At 37.3% G+C, this 24761-nt stretch overlaps 1 protein-coding gene and 1 non-coding gene across 4 annotated transcripts in view; both read left to right on the top strand.

Moving 5' to 3' along the window:
• The window catches only part of OPCML (opioid binding protein/cell adhesion molecule like), a 1117521-nt gene that overhangs the window by 77759 nt on the left and 1015001 nt on the right, over positions 1-24761 (top strand). The window lies entirely within an intron of this gene.
• On the top strand, positions 17704-17805 carry LOC124902835 (small nucleolar RNA U13). Its single transcript, XR_007063020.1, has one exon. It is a non-coding gene; the product is annotated as a small nucleolar RNA U13 (small nucleolar RNA).

Here is a 24761-nt window from a genome sequence, read left to right as displayed (position 1 = left end):
ATCGTGATATAGCTTCCCTCAAAAACTCTTTTATGATATTTATAGTCAGAATACTAATAATTTGCTTATTTCCCCTTTCTAGACTCTGTTTTTCTTTTATTCTATTCTCTGGAATTATTAATAATGGTTGATCAGCATCTTATTTAAGACAAATTGCATAGATCAGAAAATACTTGAATTCTATCCCAGTCTTCTATTCTTCCAGCTACATAGTTCCAAAACTCTTCACCCTTTTACAGCACAGAATCAATGCTCAATAAATATTGATCCTATTTTCCAATATTCTAAGCACTTCGGACGGGGGGAAAAACTATAGATCATGCCTGTGTTTATTTTGTTGCTAATCTATGGCTTTGAACCCCTTCAGGGCAGAAAGAAGTCTCACAAACAGCAGCAAAGAATAGTGACAGACTGGTCTTTAATATCCTCCTATTGCTGGACCTATCATCTGGTTAACACTACATTTTTAGTAATTCAGATCTGAGACATAGTATCAACCAATAGGTTTATATGAATTTTTAGAACTCAGATTTCAGAACTCTCAGACAATTTGGTTCAAAACAAAAATGAAACTTGATTTCCACAGAACTATCATGACCCTAGAAACAAATGAGACTTAATTTGGTCCTTCTGATATGAATTCCTGCAATTCTAAGGAGAATCGCCGACTATCAGGATTCCTGTTTCGGGAATGCAGTTGGATCAGATGGCCTCTAACGTCCCTTCCAAACCCAAGATTAGGTTCTTGTGTGAAACTACAGCAGACAGAAATTCTATTTTTTCCACCAGATTTCTGTGGGGATGCATTTCCTTTTATCTACCTTCAAATATCTCATTAATATCATAACTTTAGACATCCATGTGTTTGAGTTCATATGTAGGCTCTGTCCGCAAACATTCATATTTATTTTGCTATTCTTTCTTCTCCATCTGTAAGATACATCCCCATGTTATTTGTGGACATATAAGACCCTTATCTGTGGCAAAGCTTGTGCCACGTGAGGATAGAGTCATCAGAAAAACATTTTGAGGATTCAAGGTTGGTGAGTGGAACCCTGGAATAAAGTAAGAGGTTGTGGCTGAGCTGTGTTTAGGAAACTGGTGCACTGAGCACCAGCCACAGATTTCCCAAGGGTAGCCAGGGCTGACAGCTCAGCACAGGGAAATTAAAAACAGTGAAATTTTAAAATACACATCAATTTTAATGCAATCTATATGTTTGGCTTGTCTTCATTTTTGGCATTTGTCAGAGGAGAAATAAGATATCCTTGTAGGAAAATTAAATAAATAAATTGTACCCTATGAAAAAGAAAAGCAAAGCAATAAATTACAAATGCTTTTATTTCTTCCGTCAGAGTTTAACATTCTAGCATCCAATCAAAAGTTTGAAAGTCCCTTTTCTATGATTATAGTACATTAGATAAATGGGTTTTTAAAATGCACGTATTTATTTAGAACAGAACCTCATTCTGATTAAGTTTTCAATTCAGTTACCACCTACTTTATTTTTGATAGGCTTCATGGGAGAAGATTTATTTTATTTAATTTATTTTTGATGCTTCAAACATTGCTGAAATCTGGTGTAATATGAATTGTTTTGATTTCCAAATGCAATTCTGCTAAATCTAGACAGGGAGAAAGTGATATTTCTGTTTACTTTCAACTAGAGCATCCAGTTCGATGTGTCTCTGAGCCTTTGTATGTGGCACAGTAAAAAGTTTTGGGTAAGTAAACAGGGATCTGGACCTGAAACTATGTTTCATTAATCTACAGACAAGTTGCTGAAGATAGTATACATTTGGTTAAGATTTCCTGGCTACTTTTGGTTGAGGTTGAGGTTTTGGTCATGAGTAGCAGACCCATAAGTTAGTCTTAACTTTTATACAAACTAATTTTGGGATGCTAAGCAAATTTCCCCTAGATTTTTAGCAAAAGCCTTGGAGCTGATTTAGATCCAGCCTCACATTTGACAGAAGAACACATCAAGGTCCACTGTGGTTAAATGTCTCACTCAATGTCATGTAGAGATGTTTGTAGTAGAATTGAGATTTGTCTTTGTCTTTTTAATTTACTTTTATTTAAATTAAATAAAATATGAGATAAGGGTCTCACTATGTTGCCCAGGCTGGTCTTGAACTCCTGGGCTCAAGCAATCCTCCTACTTCGGCCCCCAAAGTGCTGGAACTACAAGTGTGAGCCACTGCACCTGGCCTGTTTTTGTTTGTCTAAATGTGTAATACTCTCTCCACTTTACCAGACTATCTGCTATCATACTATATAAACTAATTGAACTCCAAGATAATAGCACTGAAGTGACCAATTTTATATGATATTTTTAATTAAGAAAAAAATAGTTCTTAAAAGAACTATTTTTAAAAGATATAAAATGAATTATTTTAAAAGACAAAATGAATTATTAAAATGCTACCACTGTTTGTGCATTTTAATAGATTTTAAAGTTTCTCTGTTGAGATTTTCTGGTTATTCATGTATTTCCCTTTCTATTCTTGAGCATAGTTATAATAACTACTATTAAAATACTTGTCTACTGATTCCATCATCTGAGTTGTCTTGGGGTTGGTCTTCATTGATTACCTTTTCTCTTGATTATGGGTCACATTTTCCTGTTTCTTGGTAGTCTAGTAATTTTGATTATATTCTGGACATTGGTACAAAACTTTGGATTCTGTTATGCTCTTCTGAATGTATTGATTTTTGTTCTTTGGTTTTAGCAGACAGTTAATGTGGCAATAATCAAAGTCCAACCTCTGTGTTCTCTGTGGTGGGCAGCAGTAGGAATCATTGTGGAGTCCTTTTGGCCTTAGCTGGTTTGCTTGTAGTCTTCCCTGCAGAGGAGGCATTCAGAGATCAGCCAGATATTTAAACCGATTTTTTTTTTCTAGTTGGAGTTTTGCTCTTGTTGCCCAGGCTGGGCTGCAATGGTGTGGTCTCAGCTCACTGCAACCTCCACCTCCCGGGTTCAAGCAATTCTCCTGCCTCAGCCTCCAAGTAGCTGAGATTACAGGCACCCGCCACCACACCCAGCGAATTTTTGTATTTTTAGTAGAGACAGGGTTTCACCACTTTGGCCAGGCTGGTGTCAAACTCCTGACCTCAGGTGATCTGCTCCCCTCGGCCTCCCAAAGCGCTGGATTACAGGCATGAGCCACCACGCTCAGCCTAAACCAATCTTTAAATACAGAATTTAGGGCTTTCCCTTTGTGTATATCTTTTTTCTGGCACCTCTTTCCTCATTTTATAGCTGCCGTGGTCACTTCAAACTCTGTCCTCTGTTTCCACAAGCCAGTGAGACTGCAGGATATCTACTGAGTTTTAGTAATTCCACTTCATGCTCATTGGGGCTGCCTTCAGGCAAAAGTCCATGAAATATTGAAAACTTACCCAGCATCATCCCATTTCCTTCTTCTAAGTGTAAATTTTCCTCAGCATTTCCCTGCTTTTGTTTGTTTGCAGTACCTTCAGGTAGTGGTTTTTCTCTCCTTTAATTTTGTTGTGTGTATCCAGATTTTATAGTTATTATCTGTGCAAAGATTGTTCTGTTAGAAGCTACTCCTTCATTGCCAAAATAGAAAGCAGATTTTTAAACATGGATTTCTCTCAGGAGGAAATTTTTACAACTATTTTTGAGTTCTAGTCTCCCTTTTCCCCCGTTAGAGACATAAAATAAACACTCAATATAAAAATGGGAGAAAATGTTATATAACATATGTGTTGATTACATAGATTGCATATACATATATATGGTATGTTTAATGCATATACTTTATGTATACATTAAGTATAGAGAACAACATATTGATATTACATACTTTTCAGAATGTACACTGTCTATTCAATAATTCATTTTGTGATGAGTGCTGGCATACCAGACCTTTGATCTGAATGTTTTTTGCCACTGTCTGTGGAACCTCACAATATCACATTGAGCTATCCAGGACAATAACTGTCACTCCAATAGGACCACCACCTCTTTTCTTTGCCTATACTGTCTTCACTTTTCCTTCACGTTGTGTTCTCTGTTTCCTTTTCCTTGTGGAAGTCACAGGGTACACAAGGATTGTGACCTACCCAGGCTAGTCTTCAGAGTTAGCAGAGCATCTCTTTCTCTCTCTCACTCGCTTGTTTTTTTTTAAATTCCATTTTGTTTTTCTATTTATTTTAGACAGTCCCATTTTTCTCAGAGATGTGTTGATATTCTCACTGAGTATTCCAAGAGTTTTCCTGCCCAGTCTCCATATTATATCCCAGAATTAAATTAGAAAGGTTGATTACAGCTTTTTTGCCCAGTGAGTCAATGTCAAAGTGAGAAATCTTAAAAAAAAAAATGGATTTGTACCGATGTGTCATTGATTGCTGGCAGGAAGATCAACAAGCTTTTCAGTCACTCTAGCATCTGGTTGTAGTATTTGGAGAATACCTGAGAATAACTACTCTGAGAACAGTCAGGATGATTTTGACTATACCTAAAAGTAAACCTAAATTAAAGAACTTAATCAATAGATGTTTATTATCTCTCATCACTCTATGTCCAGAGTAAGGAAGCGGCAAAGTTGGTTAATTGACTATCGCAGTGATGTGAAGACTTTGTATGAGCTTCTCAGCAATTCTTCTGGCTTTTGTTCTTATGGTCACAAGGTAACTGCATCAACTCTTAGCATAAGACAACGCCCAGAGGCAGGAAAGTGTAAGATATGTGCCTGTGCCTATTTTTCATCAAATAAGAAGACATTTTCCCAGATTTCCCCATAAACAGCCTTTATAGCCTCACTGGCTAGAAGTGGGTCCCATGCTTTCTACAAAACAATTCATGACAAAGAAGAATGGGATTACCATGATTAGCCTAAACCAGGTGTTGAATAGTGGTTGAATTGTGGCCCCCCGACAAAATGCATGTTTACCTGGAGCCTCAGAATGTGAGACATTATTTAGAAATAGCGACTCTGCACATGTAATTAATTAAGGATCTTGATATAAAATCATCTAGGATTTACAGTGAACCCCATTTCCAATGACAAGTGTTCTCATAGGATGAGGGGAGGACACAGAGAGGAAGCCATGTGAAGATGAAGATAGAGACTGGAGTGATGCCGCTACAAGCGAAGGAATGTCAGGAGCCACCAGAACCTGAGGGAGGCAAAGAACAATTCTCTGGAGCCTTTGGAACCTTGATTTCAGACTTCTGGAGGCCAGAAATGTAAGGGAACAAATGTTTGTCCTATTAAGCCTCCTAATCTGTGGTGATTGGTCACAGCAACCCTAAGAAACTACACTATACCAGAGTTTGGCAAACTAAGGCCCACCAGTCAAAGCCTGCTGTTACCTCTTCATATAAATCCGGTTTTATTAAAACACAGCCACACCCATTCATTTACACATTGCCTTTAGCTGCTTTCCAAGACAATGGTAAAGCTGAGTAGTTGTTACAGAGACTTTATGTCCAGCAAAACTTAAAATATTTACTCTCTGTCCTTTTGCAGAAAAAAGCTTGTTGATCTTTGGTCCAGAGTAATAGTGGTTCAGCTCCTAGTGCTACAGAGAGGTACATCTTCTATGATCATGTCATTTCTCAACACCTGAACAAAGGGAAGTTCTTTTAGCAAAGAGGACAGGGATATTTTTTACAGATAGGAAACCAAAATAATCATGAACATGTGAAGACTAAACATGGATTGTGCATAATAATAAACTAATACTTGTTAATTATCCACACTTGTAGTTTTAATTTAGAAAACTCACCATATTTATAGGCTCCCAGGTGGCTTTTGTTATTATGTGTTATTATTTGTCTGTATGTGTTAATAGATTACAAATTTGGCAGTAGAGATAAACCACAATATTCATTGTGATCATGTTGATCTTGTGAATTGTGTATACAAAATATATGTTACAAACTTTCCTTTCTGTATTCCTGGATCTCTAGATGATGATATCCAAGACTTGGGTTTAAAAATGCTAGACATTTCTGGACTGGGTGAGGTGGCTCATGCCTGTAATCCCAGCACTTCGGGACGCTGAGGCGGGCGATCACCTGAGGTCTGGAGTTCAAGACCAGCCTGGCCAACATGGTGAAACCCCATCTCTACTAAAAATATAATAATTAGCTGGGCATGGTGGCAGGCACCTGTAACCCCAGCTACTCAGGAGACTGAGGCAGGAGTATCGCCTGAACCCGGGAGGTGGAGGTTGCGGTGAGTCGAGATCGCGCCTTTGCACTCCAGCCTGGGTGACAGAGTGAGACTCTGTCTCAAAAACAAAAAAACAAAAAACACTAGACATTTCTACAGGAATAAATAAAGGGTGGTACCGGGACAAGGTTAGACATGTAGCTCATGGAATAGAATTGAATGTTCGGGGAAAAAATGCCCAACGTGTTATTTATGGTCAACTGAGTTTTGACAAAGGTACCAAGGCAATTTAATGGGTAAAGGATAATCTTTTCAGCAAATGATAATGGGACAACTGAATATCCACATGCAAAATGATTAATTTTGACCACTGTCTTATATCATACATAAAAAACAATTAGAAATAGATTGTAGATTTAAATGCAAGTTAAAACTATAAAACTTCTAGAATACAACATAAAAGAAAATCTTTGTGATCTTGGGTTATGCAAAGAGTTCTTAGAAATGATACCAAAAGCATGATTCACAAAGGAAAAAATAATACATTGGACTTTTTCAAAATTTAGAACTTTCAGGCTTCTAAAGACACCATTAAGAAAATGAAAAGATAGCCACAGGCTGAAAGCCAACATTTAAAACTTACATAGCTAATAAAACACTTATACATAGAATATATAAAAATACTTATAACTCAACAATAAGACAAAGAACTCAACTTAAAAATAAGCAAAGGATTTCCATTCTACCAAAAAATACTTGCATTGTATGTTCATCACTGTACTGTTCACAATAGCAAAGACATGAAGTCAACCTAAGAGCCCCTCAGTGGTGGACTGGATAAATAAAATGTGGTATATATACTCCATGGAATACTATGCAGCTATGAAAAAGAATGAAATAATGTTCTTTGCAGCAACATGGATGCAGCTGGAGGCCATTAACCTAAGTGAATCAGTGCAGGAACAGAAAGTTAAATACTGCATGTTCTCACTTATAAGTGGGAGCTAAATATTAGGTACTCATGGACATAAAAATGGCAACAATAGACAATGGGAAGTCATTGGGGGAGAAGGGAGAGAAGGAGGCCAGGGCTGAAAATGAACTATTGGGTACTGTGATCAGTACCTGGGTGATGGATCATTCATACCTCAAACCTCAGCATCACACAATATACCAGGCAACAAGCCTGTGCATGTACTGCTTGAATCTAAAATAAAAGTTAAATTTATTAAAAACAGAAGACCAAGGGATTTAAATAGGTATCTCTTCAAAGAACATATTTGAATGGCTAAGAAGCACATGTAAAGATGCTTAACATTATTATTTATTAGGGAAATGCAGATTAAAACCACAATGAGATGCCTTTTCAATTGAAGAAAAAAAGACAGACAATAACAAGAGCTGACAAGGATATGGGGAGCCTGGAACTCTCATACATTGCTAGTGAGAATGCAAAATGGTATGGATACTTTAAAAATGAGTTTGGCAGTTTAATAAACACTTTAATGAAAACATAAACTTAATATATGGCACAGAAATTCTACTCCTAGGTATCTATCTAAGATAAATGAAAAGATATGTCTGCAAAGAGACTTGTATGCAAAAGTTCATAGCAAAATTACTCATACAAAATAATTGGGAACAGTGCAAACGTTCATCATCTGGTGAATGAATAAAGAAAATGTAGTAATCTATGCAATGTACTATTCAACAATAGAAAGAAACTACTGAAACATGCTTCAGCATGAATGAATCTTGAAAAACTTATGCTGTATAAAAAAGCCAGACACAAATGACAAAATGTTGTGTGATTCTATTTTTATGAAATGTCCAGAAAAGGCAAATCTATAGAGAAAAAGTAGCTTATGGTTGCCTGGGACTGCAGGATGAAAATGGAGAGTAACAACAAATAAGAATGAGGAATCATTTTTAGATGTTGGAAAGGGTTCTAAAACTGAATTGTGGTGATAGTTGCACAACTCTATAAATTTACTAAAGATCATTAGCAGCTGGGCATGGTGGTGCACGCCTATAGTCCCAGCAACTCGGGAGGCCAAGGTGGGAGGATCCCTTGAGCCCAGGAGTTGGAAATTGCAACGAGCTATGACTACACCACCACACTACAGCCCAGGCAGCAGAGCAAGACCCTGACTCTAAAAAGAATAAAATAAAATAAACTAGTTATATTATAGTGGGCGGGTTTATGGTATGTAAGTTATACCTCATCATGATTATTCAAAAATATATAGTAAGGGAATTTTTTAAAACCCTGCAAATATCTAACTTTTGTCCAACAGAAAACACGGATGCAAACTACAAAGGATATCACCTGTATCCATTGCTATTTCAACTAAAAAACTGATTACAAAAAGGCTAAAGGGAGATTGGGAGTTCTGTTCTTGTCAGAGAGATGCTTAAATCTCATAACCACTGTGTAGTTCAGAGTGACATTGTCTGAGCTTCCTGGCCTCCTACAGACCCAGTAAGCAGAATAAAAAGATGAGAATCTTATTAGCAGAATGAGCAGAACATACTTCTAAAGTTTTGCTCTATTTCTTTAATCTTTATCCTATCCCAGGGAGGTAGGCGGAACAGATATTTTTGACCCCCTTTTAGATCATGCAAATCACAGACACATTGCTAAGAGACAGTCACATCTGACTTTTTAAACAGTCTTGGCAGCCCCCCCTTCCTTCTCAGCCCCATCTTCTCATCCTCCCAATCAACTTTATATCTTCCACCAACATTGCATTTAAATCCCTGCTTGTTTCTCACTTTTCCTTTTCTCCTCAGAGGAATAGTAAGGCTATAATCCTTGAGCCAATCTTTGCTTAAAATGTACTCTGGAGTGCATAGAAAGCCAGTTCAAGGACAACTTTCTTAGCCAAGGGGGAAATTACATTTTCTGCAATTTATTTTGTTATTTTGTGAGTTTCTCTCCTTTTCCTAAGTTGGATCCAACTGAAGTTAAATTTTACCACATTCTCCAGATGAAAAGTGATGATAGAACTTAGTTGCAAGGTGTGGAAACAGCAACAACAGCAGCAGCATTTGCTAACTGTTGGGTAAATGCTAGACAGTCCAGGAAACACGTTGCCTGGGTGATCTCCTTTACTCCCCACTCCAGTTGATGAGGCAGGTGCCATTATTACTTCTACTCACAGAAGAGAAAATTGGTCTGGGATTATGTTTAGCCAAAAAGTGGCAGAGAGCAGGTCTGCCTGAGTTTAAGCTTATGGCATGGCATAAGCTCATGTCAACAGCCCCTTTACAGAAAATTGACTTCTTGTCATTTAACCCAAACCCATGTGGAGAGAGGAAATTGGTCTGTGGTCTCTTGGTGACCTTTCATACCTGAAATTGTGTAGATGGGTTATGGTGGTCTCCATCCACCATCCAGGATCACCATGGATATGGTCTGTGGTCTCTTGGTGACCTTTCATACCTGAAATTGTGTAGATGGGGTGTGGTGGTCTCCATCCACCATCCAGGATCACCATGGATATGGTCTGTGGTCTCTTGGTGATCTTTCATACCTGAAATTGTGTAGATGGGGTGTGGTGGTCTCCATCCACCATCCAGGATCACCATGGATATGGTCTGTGGTCTCTTGGTGACTTTTCATACCTGAAATTGTGTAGATGGGGTATGGTGGTCTCCATCCACCATCCAGGATCACCATGGATATGGTGTGTGGTCTCTTGGTGACCTTTCATACCTGAAATTGTGTAGATGGGGTATGGTGGTCTCCATCCACCATCCAGGATCACCATGGATACAGCTGCATGCAAAAAAAACCAAAAAACAAAAAACTCAAAGTTAGAAAAAAGAAAAAGGAAAATGACATGGTTTTTCAATATCATGATGAAATGTTATTAGGCAATTTGAAGTTAATCTATTTCTCTAGGGATGCAATTGTTTGACTTAGTATTTATTATTGATTACGATATTTTGTTACCCTGTAAGTATAAATATCAACTTTTATATGACTAATACCAACATAAATTTTTCTTGTCCAAAGCAAGAAAAGATAACCCTAGAAATTATTTTTTTGTTCTGTGGGACATTAACCAGTTTTATATTTGATTTAGCAATCTTCTTCTAACATTTTTTCAGACCTATATATATAACTAACTCAGTCTCTCAAATCATCTTTGAACTAGCTTTACTCTTCTTTTGATTCTTTCATTAATAAGTTAAATATATCTTTGATATGTGCTCACTTAATATTTGTATAAGAGACATGTTTAAGGTTTTGAAAATTATACTCTGATAGCTTTAAGCTTGTTGAGAGTAAGAAACTAACTCTTTTTTTCTATGTCACCAAATGACTACTACCTTGTTTCTCTCTCTAAGGCCATTAAGCAGTTCATTCTCTACGTCCTCCTCTGCTTAAACATGTTTAGAGCTAGCAGGAAGAAGGCTGCAGCCTGCTTTTCCACTCCTCGCTGCTGCTTCTACTTGAGACATGGAGAAGCATTTAGAAAAGGCCGTGTCTCCCCTGTTCTCAGAGGTTTCCAGTGCAAATAGAGGGGAAAGCCAGTATCTCAGTGCTGTAATCCTTCTGATCTTCCGAGTCTCAGGCATGCTGCTCAGTAACAGCATATTAATAAGACACCCAAGGCTCCCTTTCTATTTAGTTTTTTTGTGTGTTTGGAGACAGAGAGTCTATGTTGCCCAGATTGGTCTTGAACTCCTGGCCTCAAGTGACTCTCCCACCTTTGCCTCCCAATGTTCTGGGATTACAGGAGTCAGCCAAGGTATCCAGTCCCTAAAGCCCTGTTTCTAAACACAGGGTGTGTGCTGTGGATGTCAATACTGACTTTTTTACAGGTAGCTCAATAGCTAGGACAGAGGCTCAGCCACCTTGAATTCTTCCTTCTGACAAAAGAAGTGCTGCACACACAACGCTTAACATACTTCAGAGCTAAATGATCCCGTTTCAAAATATTAGTGCCTGGAGGAAATAATAGGTGTTAACTGCAGCAATGAAGGGGTGAAGTAACCTGGTTACTAATGTACAATGGGGCCTATTATTTCCAGCCAGGATGAAGTGTTGTGAGTCTGATTAATGAGCAATGCTGCGCATGTTTCAACAAGGAAGAGAGAATAGGAGCCTACAGTTATTTCTGCCAAAGCCATCTCTGCATCTGTTGGTGGAATCACTTCAGGATCAGCCTTGTGTTAAGGAGGCAGCTTGATGTTGGTAAAATGAGAAGGAATCTGAAAGCTCCAGGCTGAATCGCCAGCAGATCTCAGTGAAATGACTTGGCATGATACATAAAAACACCCAATGTGGAACCTAGCACTTTCCTAAAACAGAAAGGTGCTGTGAAGCTTTCCTATAAAAGATTGGTTGGGGCTCTTTCAAGCACCCTGAATCTTTAGAGTGGTTGATCACGTTTATTTCCCAGATGGGTATCCCTGCCATGACCCTGAATTGCTGTGATGGTATGCAACTATTACAATAATGTGCTGTCTGATGTTCTTGTTTAGATTGTCTGCGTTTTCTGTGGGTTCAGTTTTTCATTTCATCACTTTTATTTTGTATCTTTCTTTTATTATTATTGTTTTCATTTCACAAATATTACATGAATATCTTCTTGAAAAAGATTCAAAGAATAGCTATTGCTATTAAGTATCATGTTTAAGTCCATATTTTCCCATTCTCTGCTTTCCAACCAAACGCACTTCTATTTCTCTGTCAAGCAAGACCCATTGGTAATAGTGAAAACAGTTTGCTGTGTGTCTTCCTAGTCTCTTCTAAATGATTACACATAAACTCATAAGCTTTTTTCTTCTTTCTTCTTACCTTCTTCCCTCAAAAAAGACACACACACACACACACACACACACACACACACACACACGTTTAAATATGTTTGCTTTTGCAATCGTTTTTCAGGGAACAGTAGGTCACTATGTTTTGCAACTGTTCCATATCAGTTCATATTAGTTTAGTAAGAATGGACCTACTTCCTTTTTATTAAAGATTGAATGCTGTTTTATTGCATGGATTTTCCCCAAATTGTTTCACTGGAAGCCTATTTACTGACATGTATGTTGATTCTGAGATTCCACTCTTGCAAATAATGGTGCCATAAGCATTCTTTTGTAAATGTCTTTGCATATGTTAACTATTTCTTAATGGTTATTTTCCTGGAAGTGGAATTCTTGGGTCAAGTAGTATGCTTTAAACTGTTTTTAAAGAGGCCACCATATTGCACTAAAAAGACTATCAATTTATAATGCCACCAAGAATATTTGAGAATAAAAAGTTTGTCTCACCCTTACTAACACTGAATTATTATTGACCTTTTTAAAAGATTTGTGCCAATTTGATGACTGAAAAAACAAAAACAATAAAAGCATGGCAGGGTAGTGAACTGGTTTAGGACCTAGTCAAATTCAGTTTAAACCCAAGCTCCACTGCAACTAGCTGAGTATCTGTGGGCAAGTTATTTTGGTTCTCTAGGCAACGTCTCCTTTCTTTGCAGTAGGAAAACTACTCACTATAAGGCTTGGTTGTAAGGCTTCAAAATTAGCACAAGTGAACCCTAAAACAGTGGCTGGCCAGTAGCAAGCACTCAATAAACATTAGGTATTATTATTATTAGCATTTTATTAATTTTAGTAGAGCTACATACATTTTTATGTATTTATTGACCACCTGAAATTTGTATTTGAATTACCTTTTAACATAATTTCTGTTCTGCTGAGTTCTTTAACAATTAAAAAAATAATTTGGAAGTTCTTTATACACATATATATGATATAGAACTTTTGTCTTATTTGTATGTTGAAAATATCTTTCAAAGATACTTGCGTGTTTTTTAATGTTGCATATACATTTTTATTTTTAAGTTAAGGAAGTTTATAATTCTTCTTTCATCAAATCTGTCCACTTTCTCCACTATGACTTATTCTTTCAAAGTCTACTTAGGAAACTTCCCCAAACAAGACTTTTAAAACAAACAAACAAAAACACAACAATAATCATAAAGGGTTGTTTATTTATTATTAAATATTTAGCTCTCTAATCCTTTTGAAATTATAAAATGTATGGTTTGCATGTAGTGTGAGATAGAAGATCTATGTAGTTTAGTTTTCTATGAAACAGTCATATAAATAGTATATCCTGTCCATATTTACTTGAAGTTATATCCTATACCTTAACAAAAATAAATGCCCATGAATTCATGGATCTGTTTCTTAATTCTCAAATTCGGTTCCATGTATTTCCTTTTTGTGTCAATAGTCCAATTGTTTTTATTACAATAGGCTTTTTTTTCATGTGATAATAAAATGATAGAGAAATTACCTACCATTTTTTTCTTTTTCAAAATTTTCATGTCATTCTTGGGCTTTTTTTCCTTCTCCAAATGCACTTTACTGTCTGTGTGTAACAGAAAGAGAGGCATAGACCTGGATTTATTTTTAATTACAAATTCTAGTTTATAATTTGTGCTAACATATAAGATAATAATTGATTTTTATACATGAGGATGTGTCTGTCTCCTTACAGAGCTTTCTTATTTTAATAGTGTCTTATTCTAATAATTTATCTGTAAAACCCTCAAATTCTTTTAGATGTAGGCAATCATACTGCAGAGAATTATGACAATTTCCTGTTTCTTTGTGATGTTTATATTATTTATATATTTACTTTGACATTTTTATTGGCTAAGCCTGTAGTGTAATATGGAAAGTGGTCTTTTGTTTTTTCTTGCTCCAAGCTCTAATAGAAATCATATATATATATGATTTATATATATATATATACACATACACACTCACACACACACACACACACAGATATATATATATATATATAATTGCTGTAGGTTTCTGTTTTTTTTTTTTTTTCCCTGAGAGGGAGTTTCGTTCTTGTTGCCAGGCTGGAGTGCCATGGTGAGGTCTTGGCTCATTGCAACCTCTGCCTCCTGGGTTCAAGAGATTCTCCTGCCTCAGCTTCCCAGTTAGCTGGGATTACAGGCACCTGCCACCATGCCCAGCTAATTTTTGCATTTTTAGTAGAGACGGGGTTTCACCATGTTGGTCAGTCTGGTCTTGAACTCTTGACCTCAGTTGATCCACCCACCTCGGCCTCCCAAAGTGCTGGGATTACAGGCGTGAGCCACCACACCCAGCCAAATGTTGATAATAATCATTTCTTTCTTTCTTTTTTTTTTTTTTTGAGATGGAGTTTTGCTCTCGTTGCCCAGGCTGGAGTGCAATGGCGCGATCTTGGCTCACCGCAACCTATGCCTCCTGGGTTCAAGCAATTCTCCTGCCTCAGCCTCCCAAGTAGCTGGGATTACAGGCATGCACCACCATGCCTGGTTAATTTTTGTATTTTTAAACTAGAGATGGGGTTTCGCCATTAGTTAGTCAGGCTGGTCTCAAACTCCTGACCTCAGGTAATCCACCTGCCTTGGCCTCCCAAAGTGCTGAGATTACAGGTGTGAGCCACTATGCCCGGCCTGGTTTCTGCTTAAAGCTTTTATAAAATTAAAGACTTTCCATCTGTTTCTAGCTGGCTAAAAAGTTTGTTGGTTTACTCAGGAATAGTCATTAAATTTTACCAAATGCTTTTCAACTTTTATTAAGATTATTATATTGGATTTCTCTTTTAATCTATTATCATATCTAGTTACATTAATGGCGTTCTGGATATTCAGCCATTTTGGTATTCCTGAATTAAATGTGCTTGTCATGATATAATATTCTTTTAATTCGTAGCTGGATTGGACTTGCTCATATTTTATTTAGGAATCTTAGAGAAAGAAAAGTGCTCCTTTAGTTTGGTTTTATTATAAGACTTAGGTTGGGCCGGGCTCGGTGGCTCACACCTGCAATCCCAGCACTTTGGGAGGCCAAGGCGGGTGGATCACGAAGTCAGGAGATCGAGACCATCCTGGCTAAAACGGTGAAACCCCGTCTCTACTAAAAATACAAAAAATTAGCCGGGCATGGTGGCGGGCACCTGTAGTCCCAGCCACTCGGGAGGCTGAGGCAGGAGAATGACGTGAACCTGGGAGGCGGAGCTTGCAGTGAGCAGAGATGGAGCCACTGCACTCCAGCCTGGGCGACAGAGTGAGACTCCATCTCAAAAAAGAAAAAAAACAAAAACAAAGAAAAACAAAAAAACAAAAAAGAGTTAGGTTGGCCTCATAAGCATTTCCTATTCCCTGAAACAGACGGAATTTTTCCTATAAACTCATCTAGGTGTGGCATGGTGGAGTTTGGTTTGTTTGTTTTTATTTTTCTTTGCTTGAGGTTGGCTTTAAAAAAAAAAAAAAAACATCTTTTACTCTCTGGACACCAACAGGGAGTCCAGTGCTTCAACTCAATTGTGACGCTGCCTGGGGCTAGCATAGGACCTGCAGGTTAAGGGCTCAGTCCCACAAGACTGCCCCACTTCGGGTGCCAATCACAAGTCCCAGGTTTCCACCATACTTCTGACCAACCTGCCACAAATCAGGGTTCCTGCGACTCTTCTCAGGTTCCATAATTTGTTAGAAAGGCCCACAGACCTCAGGAAATTTCTTTACTTATTATTATCAGCTGATTATACAGAATAGAACTCAGGAACAAGTAAATGGAAGGGATTCGTAGGGCAAGGCATGGGGTGTGGTGTGTGGGGGCATGGAGCCTCCATGCCCTCTCCGGGTTCACCCCTCCCAGCCCCTTGATGTGTTCACCAACCTGGGAGCACTCTGAACCTATTAATACTTAGGGGCTTTCATGAAGGTTTCATTACATAGGCCTGATGTATTAAATCGTTGACCGTTGGGGATCAACTTCATCTCCAGCTCTTTTCCCCTCCCCAGAGGTCAGGGATGGGGCTTAAAGTTGCAACCGGCTAATTATGCTTTGGTCTTCCTGGCAAGCAGCCCCCCTCCTGAAGTGACCTAGGGCCCTCAAAGAGTCACCTCACTAAAACCAAAGACATACTCATCACTCCTATCAGAAATTATGGGGAATAAGGTGCAAAGATCAAATATCTATTTCTTATTGTGTCATACCTAGCATTCATTTTTCCATCCTTTGTTATTCCCTCTGTTTCTTTTAATTTCAGGAGCCCTCTTGTACTCCACATGTAACTGCATTTTATTTTTCAGAGTTTAAAATGAACTTTTTTCTGTGATTGCTGATATACTTTAATTTTACTGGTTTTGTTTGCTTGTTTGTTTGTTTTTTCATTATTTGTTTGGATCTTGCCTGTGGCTGAATTGATTTTATATTTTGTTCCATTATATTCCCTCCCTTGTGATTTGAAATTTATATGTCTATTTATATTCTTCTAGTGGTTACACTTATATTTTTAACAATTTTAACAATTCTGTCGACAGCTATAACATCTATATCCTCCTCTTACATAAGAATAAAAAATTTAGTATTCTTACACTTCTCACCGCTCTCTCTGGCAGACTCCATGGTTGAGAACATCTGGGATTTTAGTTCCAGATGGTTATTTTATACATTTTTAAAACATCAAGCATCAACAGTTATTTAAACTTGACTATAACTTTTAGTGTTTTATTTGATTACTACCCTTTCTTGTATCTTTTTACTTGGTTTTGTTTTTTATTTTATGGGATTTTCCTTATATATATTTTTTTCCCTGAAGTATTTATGGATGGCAAAATTTCCAAGTCTTTGCAGGTTCAAAACTCTTCATTTTGTCCTCATACTTGAATGCAAGTTTGCCAGGGTGTGGAGTATAGGTTTAAAATAAAAATCTCGGATCATTTTCTGGTAGCATTCAGTTTTGCTGTTAAAAAATAAGATGTAAATTTAATCTCTGTATTATTGTAAGTAATCTGTTATTTTCTCTTTGGAAATTTTTAAAATGAGAGGGGAGAGGTGAGCGGGGTTGAGAGGGGAGAGGTGAGCGGGGTTGAGAGGGGAGAGGTGAGCGGGGTTGAGAGGGGAGAGGTGAGCGGGGTTGAGAGGGGAGAGGTGAGCGGGGTTGCAGAGGTTTTGAAGTGCATGGCGTGCTTAGCAAATATTAAGTGATCCATTCTGGTTATCCTGCATTCAAAGCGGAAGGGAAGAGTCGGTTGGCTGAGGTGTGAGAGGTCTCTGAAGGAAATGTGTACCAGACCCTAATTGTCTTCTGTGGGATTTCTCCATGAAAGGACCTGCAATTTCCCAAGTGCACATGATGCTGAAGCGTTTACACTGTGGACTGCAGCACATCTTGACTCCCCAGGAAGAGCCAAAAAGGTGATGCCCAGAGAGAAAGTGGAGGAAATAGCTTCTGCCCGCCATCTCATCTTAGCCCCTATTGATATTATTAGGTTATTGATAATGGCTTCCGTCTGTGGCAGGCAGAACAAGCTCCACCCTTCTGTGTGTCTATCTAATGACAGCATTCGGCTTGCCTGATACATAACAAACTACAATCTGGGTCCTGATCATTAGGCAACATCATCAGTTAACAACAAATAAATGTTGGTTTATTGTCAGAGAAATAAGATGTCGTATAAATTAGATAGATGTGCTAAAAACTTAAACAATCATTAGGCTTAGATGAAAAGAAATGAAGCAGGTGCTTCTGTGGTTCATAAGGGTGATGGCTGGGCTCATGCGGATGTGTGAGATGTGCTACCCTGGAAACTGGTTATGACGTCGGCACATTACCCATCTGACATAAAACAAGAACAAAAATGTAGCCATGAGTGTGTATAAATGAATCAAAATAGAAAAGCATTCCATCATACCCCTGAGTCCTAAGGACCGAAAGGTTTAGGTCTTTGCAGTTACGCGGGGGTTTTCACATAAAGTATTACCCTTGCTCCTCAGAAGAACCATGCGAGTTCGGTTCTATTATTATCCTCACTTTACAGCTTGAAGAAACTGACAATTTTAGTAACTATTCAAGGTCACACAGCTAGTAAGCAGTGGAACTGGGCCCTAAACCCGTATTTCCCTAATTGTATGCTCTTTCATTTTTACAGTTAGTCCTTGATACAGGACATAGTACGTCCTGGCACTCACAAATGTGAATATGGAAACTTGAATGTGGGATGCTGGACTCTGAGATCACATTTGTGAGCTTAACAGCCCAGAACCTCCAGATCCTGAGAAAATTTTAAGTGAAAGATGAGCGGAGTGAAACTGTTAACTCATGCAATATGTGGATTTTGACTAAAGTCAAAATAGGGGAATTCTATCAATATAAAAGCCTTGGGATGAGGGGACCGATCACAAAAGATGGCCACCCGGTTCCTTACCCGTTGCCTCACTATATTCCATCTTTCATTTTGCCAAGTCAAAAATACACCAAATGGAGGAACCAAAACTAACAGTCTTTTTGCATTCATTTATGTAACAAACAGTTCCTAGGTTTTTGTTATTATTTTTCTTCTTTTTTTGAAAGGGACAATATAAGCAAAATAGTATTTTGTTGTTGTTCTCATTGCAGTAGGTATGTTAGCATTTTTTTTTAAATTTGAGAATGAACAATTTATTGCTAGTTTTAAAACTCATCTACTACACAATCCTCAATTGAGTATTTTGTGACTACATTTTGTGTATATGTTTGTTTGTGGTTGCACGTGGAGTGTGTGTTTGAGAATGCACATGTGTATTTTGGAAATCATTATTTATAGCTCTTAATTAAAAATTTTTAAAGGAACTATACAGGCTCAGTTCTTTGTTTTCAAATGTGAGCAGCTGAAATTAGATCCCTCTTACACCTTTGCCAGAGCAAAACTGTGCAATATGCGTAATGTGCTCTTGTCCCCTCTAGAGAGGTGGGGCTAGAGTGGAAATGGCTAATCCTCTTCACGGGGCATGAATTGGAAATTGAGTTTTGCAAACAAAGTCAGAGATAATGTCAGAGATAATTTCCCATCTTCATTATTTATGGAAATCAGTTACTGTATTTTAATTATCCACTGCTTGTATCGTCCACATAAAATGCCTTTCCTTTTATTTAAACTGCAAATAATTGCCAGTAGAATTATTCATTGGAAATTGGAATCCACTTTTTTGATCTCTAGAAAGCCTATTAATAATGAATGAGGATGTTATTTATTTGTTACAATTCCACAAATGGAAACTGAAGAAAGACTCTATATTCCTCAGTTATCTCCTCTGACAATACCTGAGTAAACTCACCCCAGGAGAAATGCCAAAATGTGGAAAAGCAACATAAAGATGAGAACAGCTTTCTTTTTTTTCTTCTTTCAACAAATGAAATGCCTACTCATTTCAACAAATGTGGGCCTACTATGGGAAAAGCACTCCTAGGTGAAGTCAGGGAGAAAGTTAAGCTAGACGTGAATTTTATCTTTCAGGACATAATAAACATTCATAAAATCCTTGACATTTGCAAGCGATATACCCTGAGACCTTCATCAATCCCCATATTCATGAATCTTACTATAGCATATAATTTGCTACATAAAATGCAATAAAATATAACTGAAAAATATAAGTGACCCCTTTGGACCCTTAATGATTCTATAAATACAGAACTCAAGTAATTTATAAAGCTATTAAAATAAATCTGGCCATTAACATAAACTCTATGCTAGGCTATCTCTCACTTGAACAATTTTTGCACTATCCAGAGAACTTGCTAAAATAGCTTCATAAATTGCTTTTTCCAGTTTCTGTACAGAATGTATGGTGGACCTTTCATGTCTGCACTACTGCAGAATCTGAATCTTTGCTTTTAAATGTTATTTTAAAAAGTATGTATTATATGAAATAATATATATTATATTGAATATATATTAAATATATATATGTGTGTGTATATATATATATATATATATATATACATATATATAATTTTTTTTTTCTGGCCAAAGCCATCACTTGATTGGATCTACTTATTTTTCTCTTCATTTATATTACCAACAGTAGAAGCCAATTTTCTTACTAGAAACTTTTTCCCCCTCCCATTGGAAGAACCAAAGTTTGACCACCTTTTTAGCCTGTGTATGGAGCTAAGCAGATAAACTTGGTAATGGGTGCCCTGGGCCTTCCCAGCTGCTCTCACAAGCTATAGAAGTCACTTCTGAACTTCAGCCATGGAGTATTGAATTCAAATTTGGGCCTCACAAAAATTAAAATATAATATCCATGATGAAATTTGAAGCCTTTGTAAATAGTTGAAGTGCTAACTTCTATACACAAATGAGCAAGGTCTGATATATATTCAATATGAGGGAGAAAGTGACAAATACTCAAAGGAAAGATACAGGTAAACTTAACTTCAGAAGCTGCAGGGGAGTTTGAGGAAGACTACAGGGAGGAGGCAGCACTTTTCCGGACTTTGAGGATAGGTAAGACTTAGAAATATGTCACAGACATAGACATCATAGACATTTTGAGTAGAGGAAACAGAATAAGCGAAGACGTGAGTGAGGAGGCAGGGAGCTTTCATGAGGAAAGTGAATAGTGTAATCCCACCTAACTATAAAGGTAATTTCTCCTCAATGTAAAAATACAAAAAAATGCTTTCCTTTTTTTGGAAATATGGTAAGATGAGGCATACACAGAAATAATCCCAGTGTGTTTAGAAATACTATGAAAAATATATTTAAAGTATTTTAAAATGCATAGTGATCTGGCAAGAAAGCAAGGGAAAGTTCAAGAAGCACAAAGCAACAAAACAATATTACTTCAGAAAGATAAGCTATGGTGAAGCCGGTTCTGCCCTAGGATGGCTTCTGATGCCTCATTCCCTAGAGTGCAAGTTTGAGGGATTCTGTGTGGATATGAGCTAAAGCCTGGGAGCTGGTAAAATGGCCGGGAAGATTACAGAGTTTATCCTGGAGCCACAGACCCTAAAGGCAAAACCCTGAAGTGGGTTAAGGGGGAAGATGTGCCTTGCAGAAGGAGAGAGTGGGACTACCTGGCTGGGTTGAAGATGTCTCTGGATGGAGGGGCAAGAGAGGCTTCTTGGGATCCTTAACTGGAAGACTGCTCTCCCATGAGTGTTAATTCACGACTCCTGTGTGGCTCCCATGTCGTAAGCTTGGACATAGGTTGGTAAGACTTCAAATCCTTGGTAAAAACAAGGCAAATCCTCACTGAAGGAATGCACTTTAATCGCAGGCACCGCTAACATTTCCACAATTTTGTAAAACATGTAGCTCATCACGTACATGAGGAAACAGACCACCATGAAGAAAAGTCAGTGCTCATAGTATAGTGTAGAAAAGGAACTTTGAAAACTACAACTGGGGCAATTTTTCAAAAGCAGAATATAAAATATATGTGTGTAATTATGCGCAAAGAAATAAAAATGGCTGTCAGAATATAATTTAGGATTAAGAGAACATTAAAATCCATCAGTAATATTTTTTTTTTTTTTTTTTTGAGACGGAGTCTCGCTCTGTCGCCCAGGCTGGAGTGCAGTGGCGGGATCTCGGCTCACTGCAAGCTCCGCCTCCCGGGTTCACGCCATTCTCCTAGTAATATTTTTAAGTAACCAAATAAAACTTCGTAGAAATATGAAACGTAATAATTGAGAGTAAAATTTCAATAGATGGATACAAAACAGATTAGTTCCAGCTGTGGAAAGAATTCATGACTGGAAGATAATCTTGAGAAAATAAATACCAAAAATCTAGAATAGAGATTCATAAACTTCCTTGGTTCATGGCACCATTCATGGGTTAGTGCCTGAATGATTTTTTTATAGTATCCCCAAAGCAAAAGAAATTCCCAACATTTCTTTTATTAAGTAGTTAGGCTCAAACAACTTAATTTTAGTATTTTGCATGGTATATAACGAACAGCTGTGTCTCTCTCAAAAATGCAACATTCCCACAGTGTTCCTGTGAATTCACTCTGGTTTCCCAGTATGCCTTCACCTGTAGTTTGAGAACCATGGATGTAAAATAAAGAAACAAAAAAATGGAAAATGTCAAAGACAACTGAAAGAGACTCCCATGTAGGTCTAACATATGCCTAATTGAAGTTCCAGAAGAAGAAAGGGAAAAGACATGGCAAGACAATTTTCCAGATTTAACACAAAATTCATAGATTCAGAAAGAACAACAAATTACAAGCAGAATAAATACAAAAAACTGGGCATGGTGGCTCGTGCCTATAATCCCAGCTACTTGGGAGGCAAAGGCAGGAGGATCACTTGAGCCCAGAAGTTTGAGGCCACAGTGAGCTTTGATCACACTACTGCACTCCAGCCTGCAGTAAGATCCGATTAACACAGTAAGTCCCCATTTCTAAAAAAGTGTGTTTTTTTTAAAAAAATAGATACAGTAAAATACATATCTAGACATATTTTACCAAAACTCTAGAACAGCAAAAATAGAATGACCTTAAGAGTAAAGACAGACTAAGAACTGATTTCTCTTTTTTTCCTTTCCAACTTTTATTTTAGGTTCAGAGTGTTACGTGGGTAAATTGCGTGTTGCGGTGGTTTGGTGTTCACATTATTTTACATTCAGGTAATGAGCATAGTACCTTGCAGGTGGTTTTTCAATCCTCACCCTCCTGTCACAAAGCACCTTCAAGTAGGCCCTGGTGTCTACTGTCCCCTTCTTTATGTCCGTATGTACTCAATATTTAGCTCCTGCTTAGAAGTGAGAACATGCAGTATTTGGTTCTCTGAGAACTGATTTCTTAGTAGTAATAACGATTCCTCTTATCCAGAGAGAACCGTACGTATTTTGATATATTTTCTTCCAATTTTTTACCTGTATATGTCAAATGAAATATATACTTTTGAAAAAAGTAAGTTGCAAAACCATATATACTGTATGACTCTCAAATATATGTATATTTATTATATATATTATATATAAATATTTTATATATATATATAAAATAAATTGAGATTCGGCGGGGCGCAGTGGTTCACACCTGTAATCCCAGCACTTTAGGAGGCTGAGGCTGGCGGATCACCTGAGGTGGAGAGTTCCAGACCAGCCTGACCAACATGGAGAAACCCCGTCTCTACTAAAAATACAAAATTAGCTGGGCATGGTGGCACATGCCTGTAATCCCAGCTACTCAGGAGGCTGATGGAGGAGAATCTCTTGAACCCAGGAGGCGGAGGTTGCGGTGAGCTGAGATCACGCTATTGCCCTCCAGCCTGGGCAACAAGAGCAAAACTCCGCGTCGAAAACAAACAAACAAACAAAAAACATTGAGATTCATACAATACATATGGTATTTATTGTAGTAAGTAGTTAGGCTCAAATGACTTAATAGTAATATTTTGTAAAACAAATAGCTGTGTCTCTCTCAAAAGACAGATAATTATATATATAAATTGAGATTCATACAATACATATAGTTTTGCATCTTTTCTCAATTGACACAATGTGACTATTTTATTTACCTACTCAACAAATGATTGTCGAATGACGTTTAACTAGGATTTAGCGAATGATTTTAAATAAATAACATTTAATTATATGTCAAGGTACTATACTAAATACTTTATAAATATTTATTTAATGTTAAGAACTGCATGAGATAGTTATTATTCTTATTTTGCAATGAAGATACTTAGTTTGTGTTAATTTTAAGCATCAGATGTGGTACTTGATAAATGCTTTTTTGCCTCTGTGTTTATATCATATTCTTAATGAAAATTTTTAGAAGTGAAACTAACGTTCGAAACCCATGAACTTCTAAAGTTACTAATAAAGCCAATCTGCTTTCTGGTAAGATTTTACCTAATTAACACTGTGATCACACACTCAACCAAACTTTGCCAATATTGAGTATAAGAACTAATTTTAGAGGTTGACAACTTCTGATAATATTTTAAGAAGGTTAAAAAATTTACCTCATTTTATTGTGATTGTATTGTGATTGTAACTTCTACATTTACAAATGTGTTTGAATGTTTCTCACATTAGGCAGTGGCATTGCTTCTTGTCTGTGATATTTGCTGAACTTTCCCTTGGTGTTTCAGCATTTTTCTCTAAATGCATTGGACGGTAGTATTGTATAATATATTTGTGTCATGTATTCTTCAAATATGTATGACTTTTATTTTATGGTTTCCTGGCATTTTTTCAATCCAATGAATTGTACGTGTACATTTTTTTCTTTTCTGTTGTGCTTAGATTATCCATCCCCATCCCAACATTAGATAGTTATTCACCTATATTGTCTGTAAGTGTTTTAATATTTTATTATTTTACATGTAACTCTTTAGGCCATCTGGAATATTCTTTGCCATATGTACTAATGTGAAGATTTATTTCAATTTTGTTTTCCAAATGTTGAACCTTGCCTGTAGTGCCAACTTCTTCCCTATTTCTTTGTTTCCCTTTAAAGCAATGCTCTTAGTAGTCTTAGCTGGCAGACTTCAATTTCTTTCCTCTTTTTTTAAAACCCATTGTAGTTTTTAGATCTCACCTCTCCACCAAAACACCTCTTATCAAGTCATCAATGCCTTCCCCATTATTATCTCCATTGGCCAGTTTTCATTCTTGATGTGATTTGATCTGTCAGCGGTATTTGCACAGCTTAACCGTCTCTTGCAGCAACAGTTTCATCACCACAACCTCCTACCTCACTGGCAATTCTCTCCTCTCCTCTGCATAATCCTGCCTCTAGTGCTGACAGGACCTAGGCCTCTGCCCATGGACTTTTCTCTCTATGCTC

The sequence above is a fragment of the Homo sapiens genome, chromosome 11, assembly GCF_000001405.40.
Source record: "Homo sapiens chromosome 11, GRCh38.p14 Primary Assembly".
NCBI lineage: Eukaryota > Metazoa > Chordata > Mammalia > Primates > Hominidae > Homo > Homo sapiens.
Note: the sequence above shows the minus strand (reverse complement) of the source record. Positions and strands in the feature narration are given on the sequence as shown.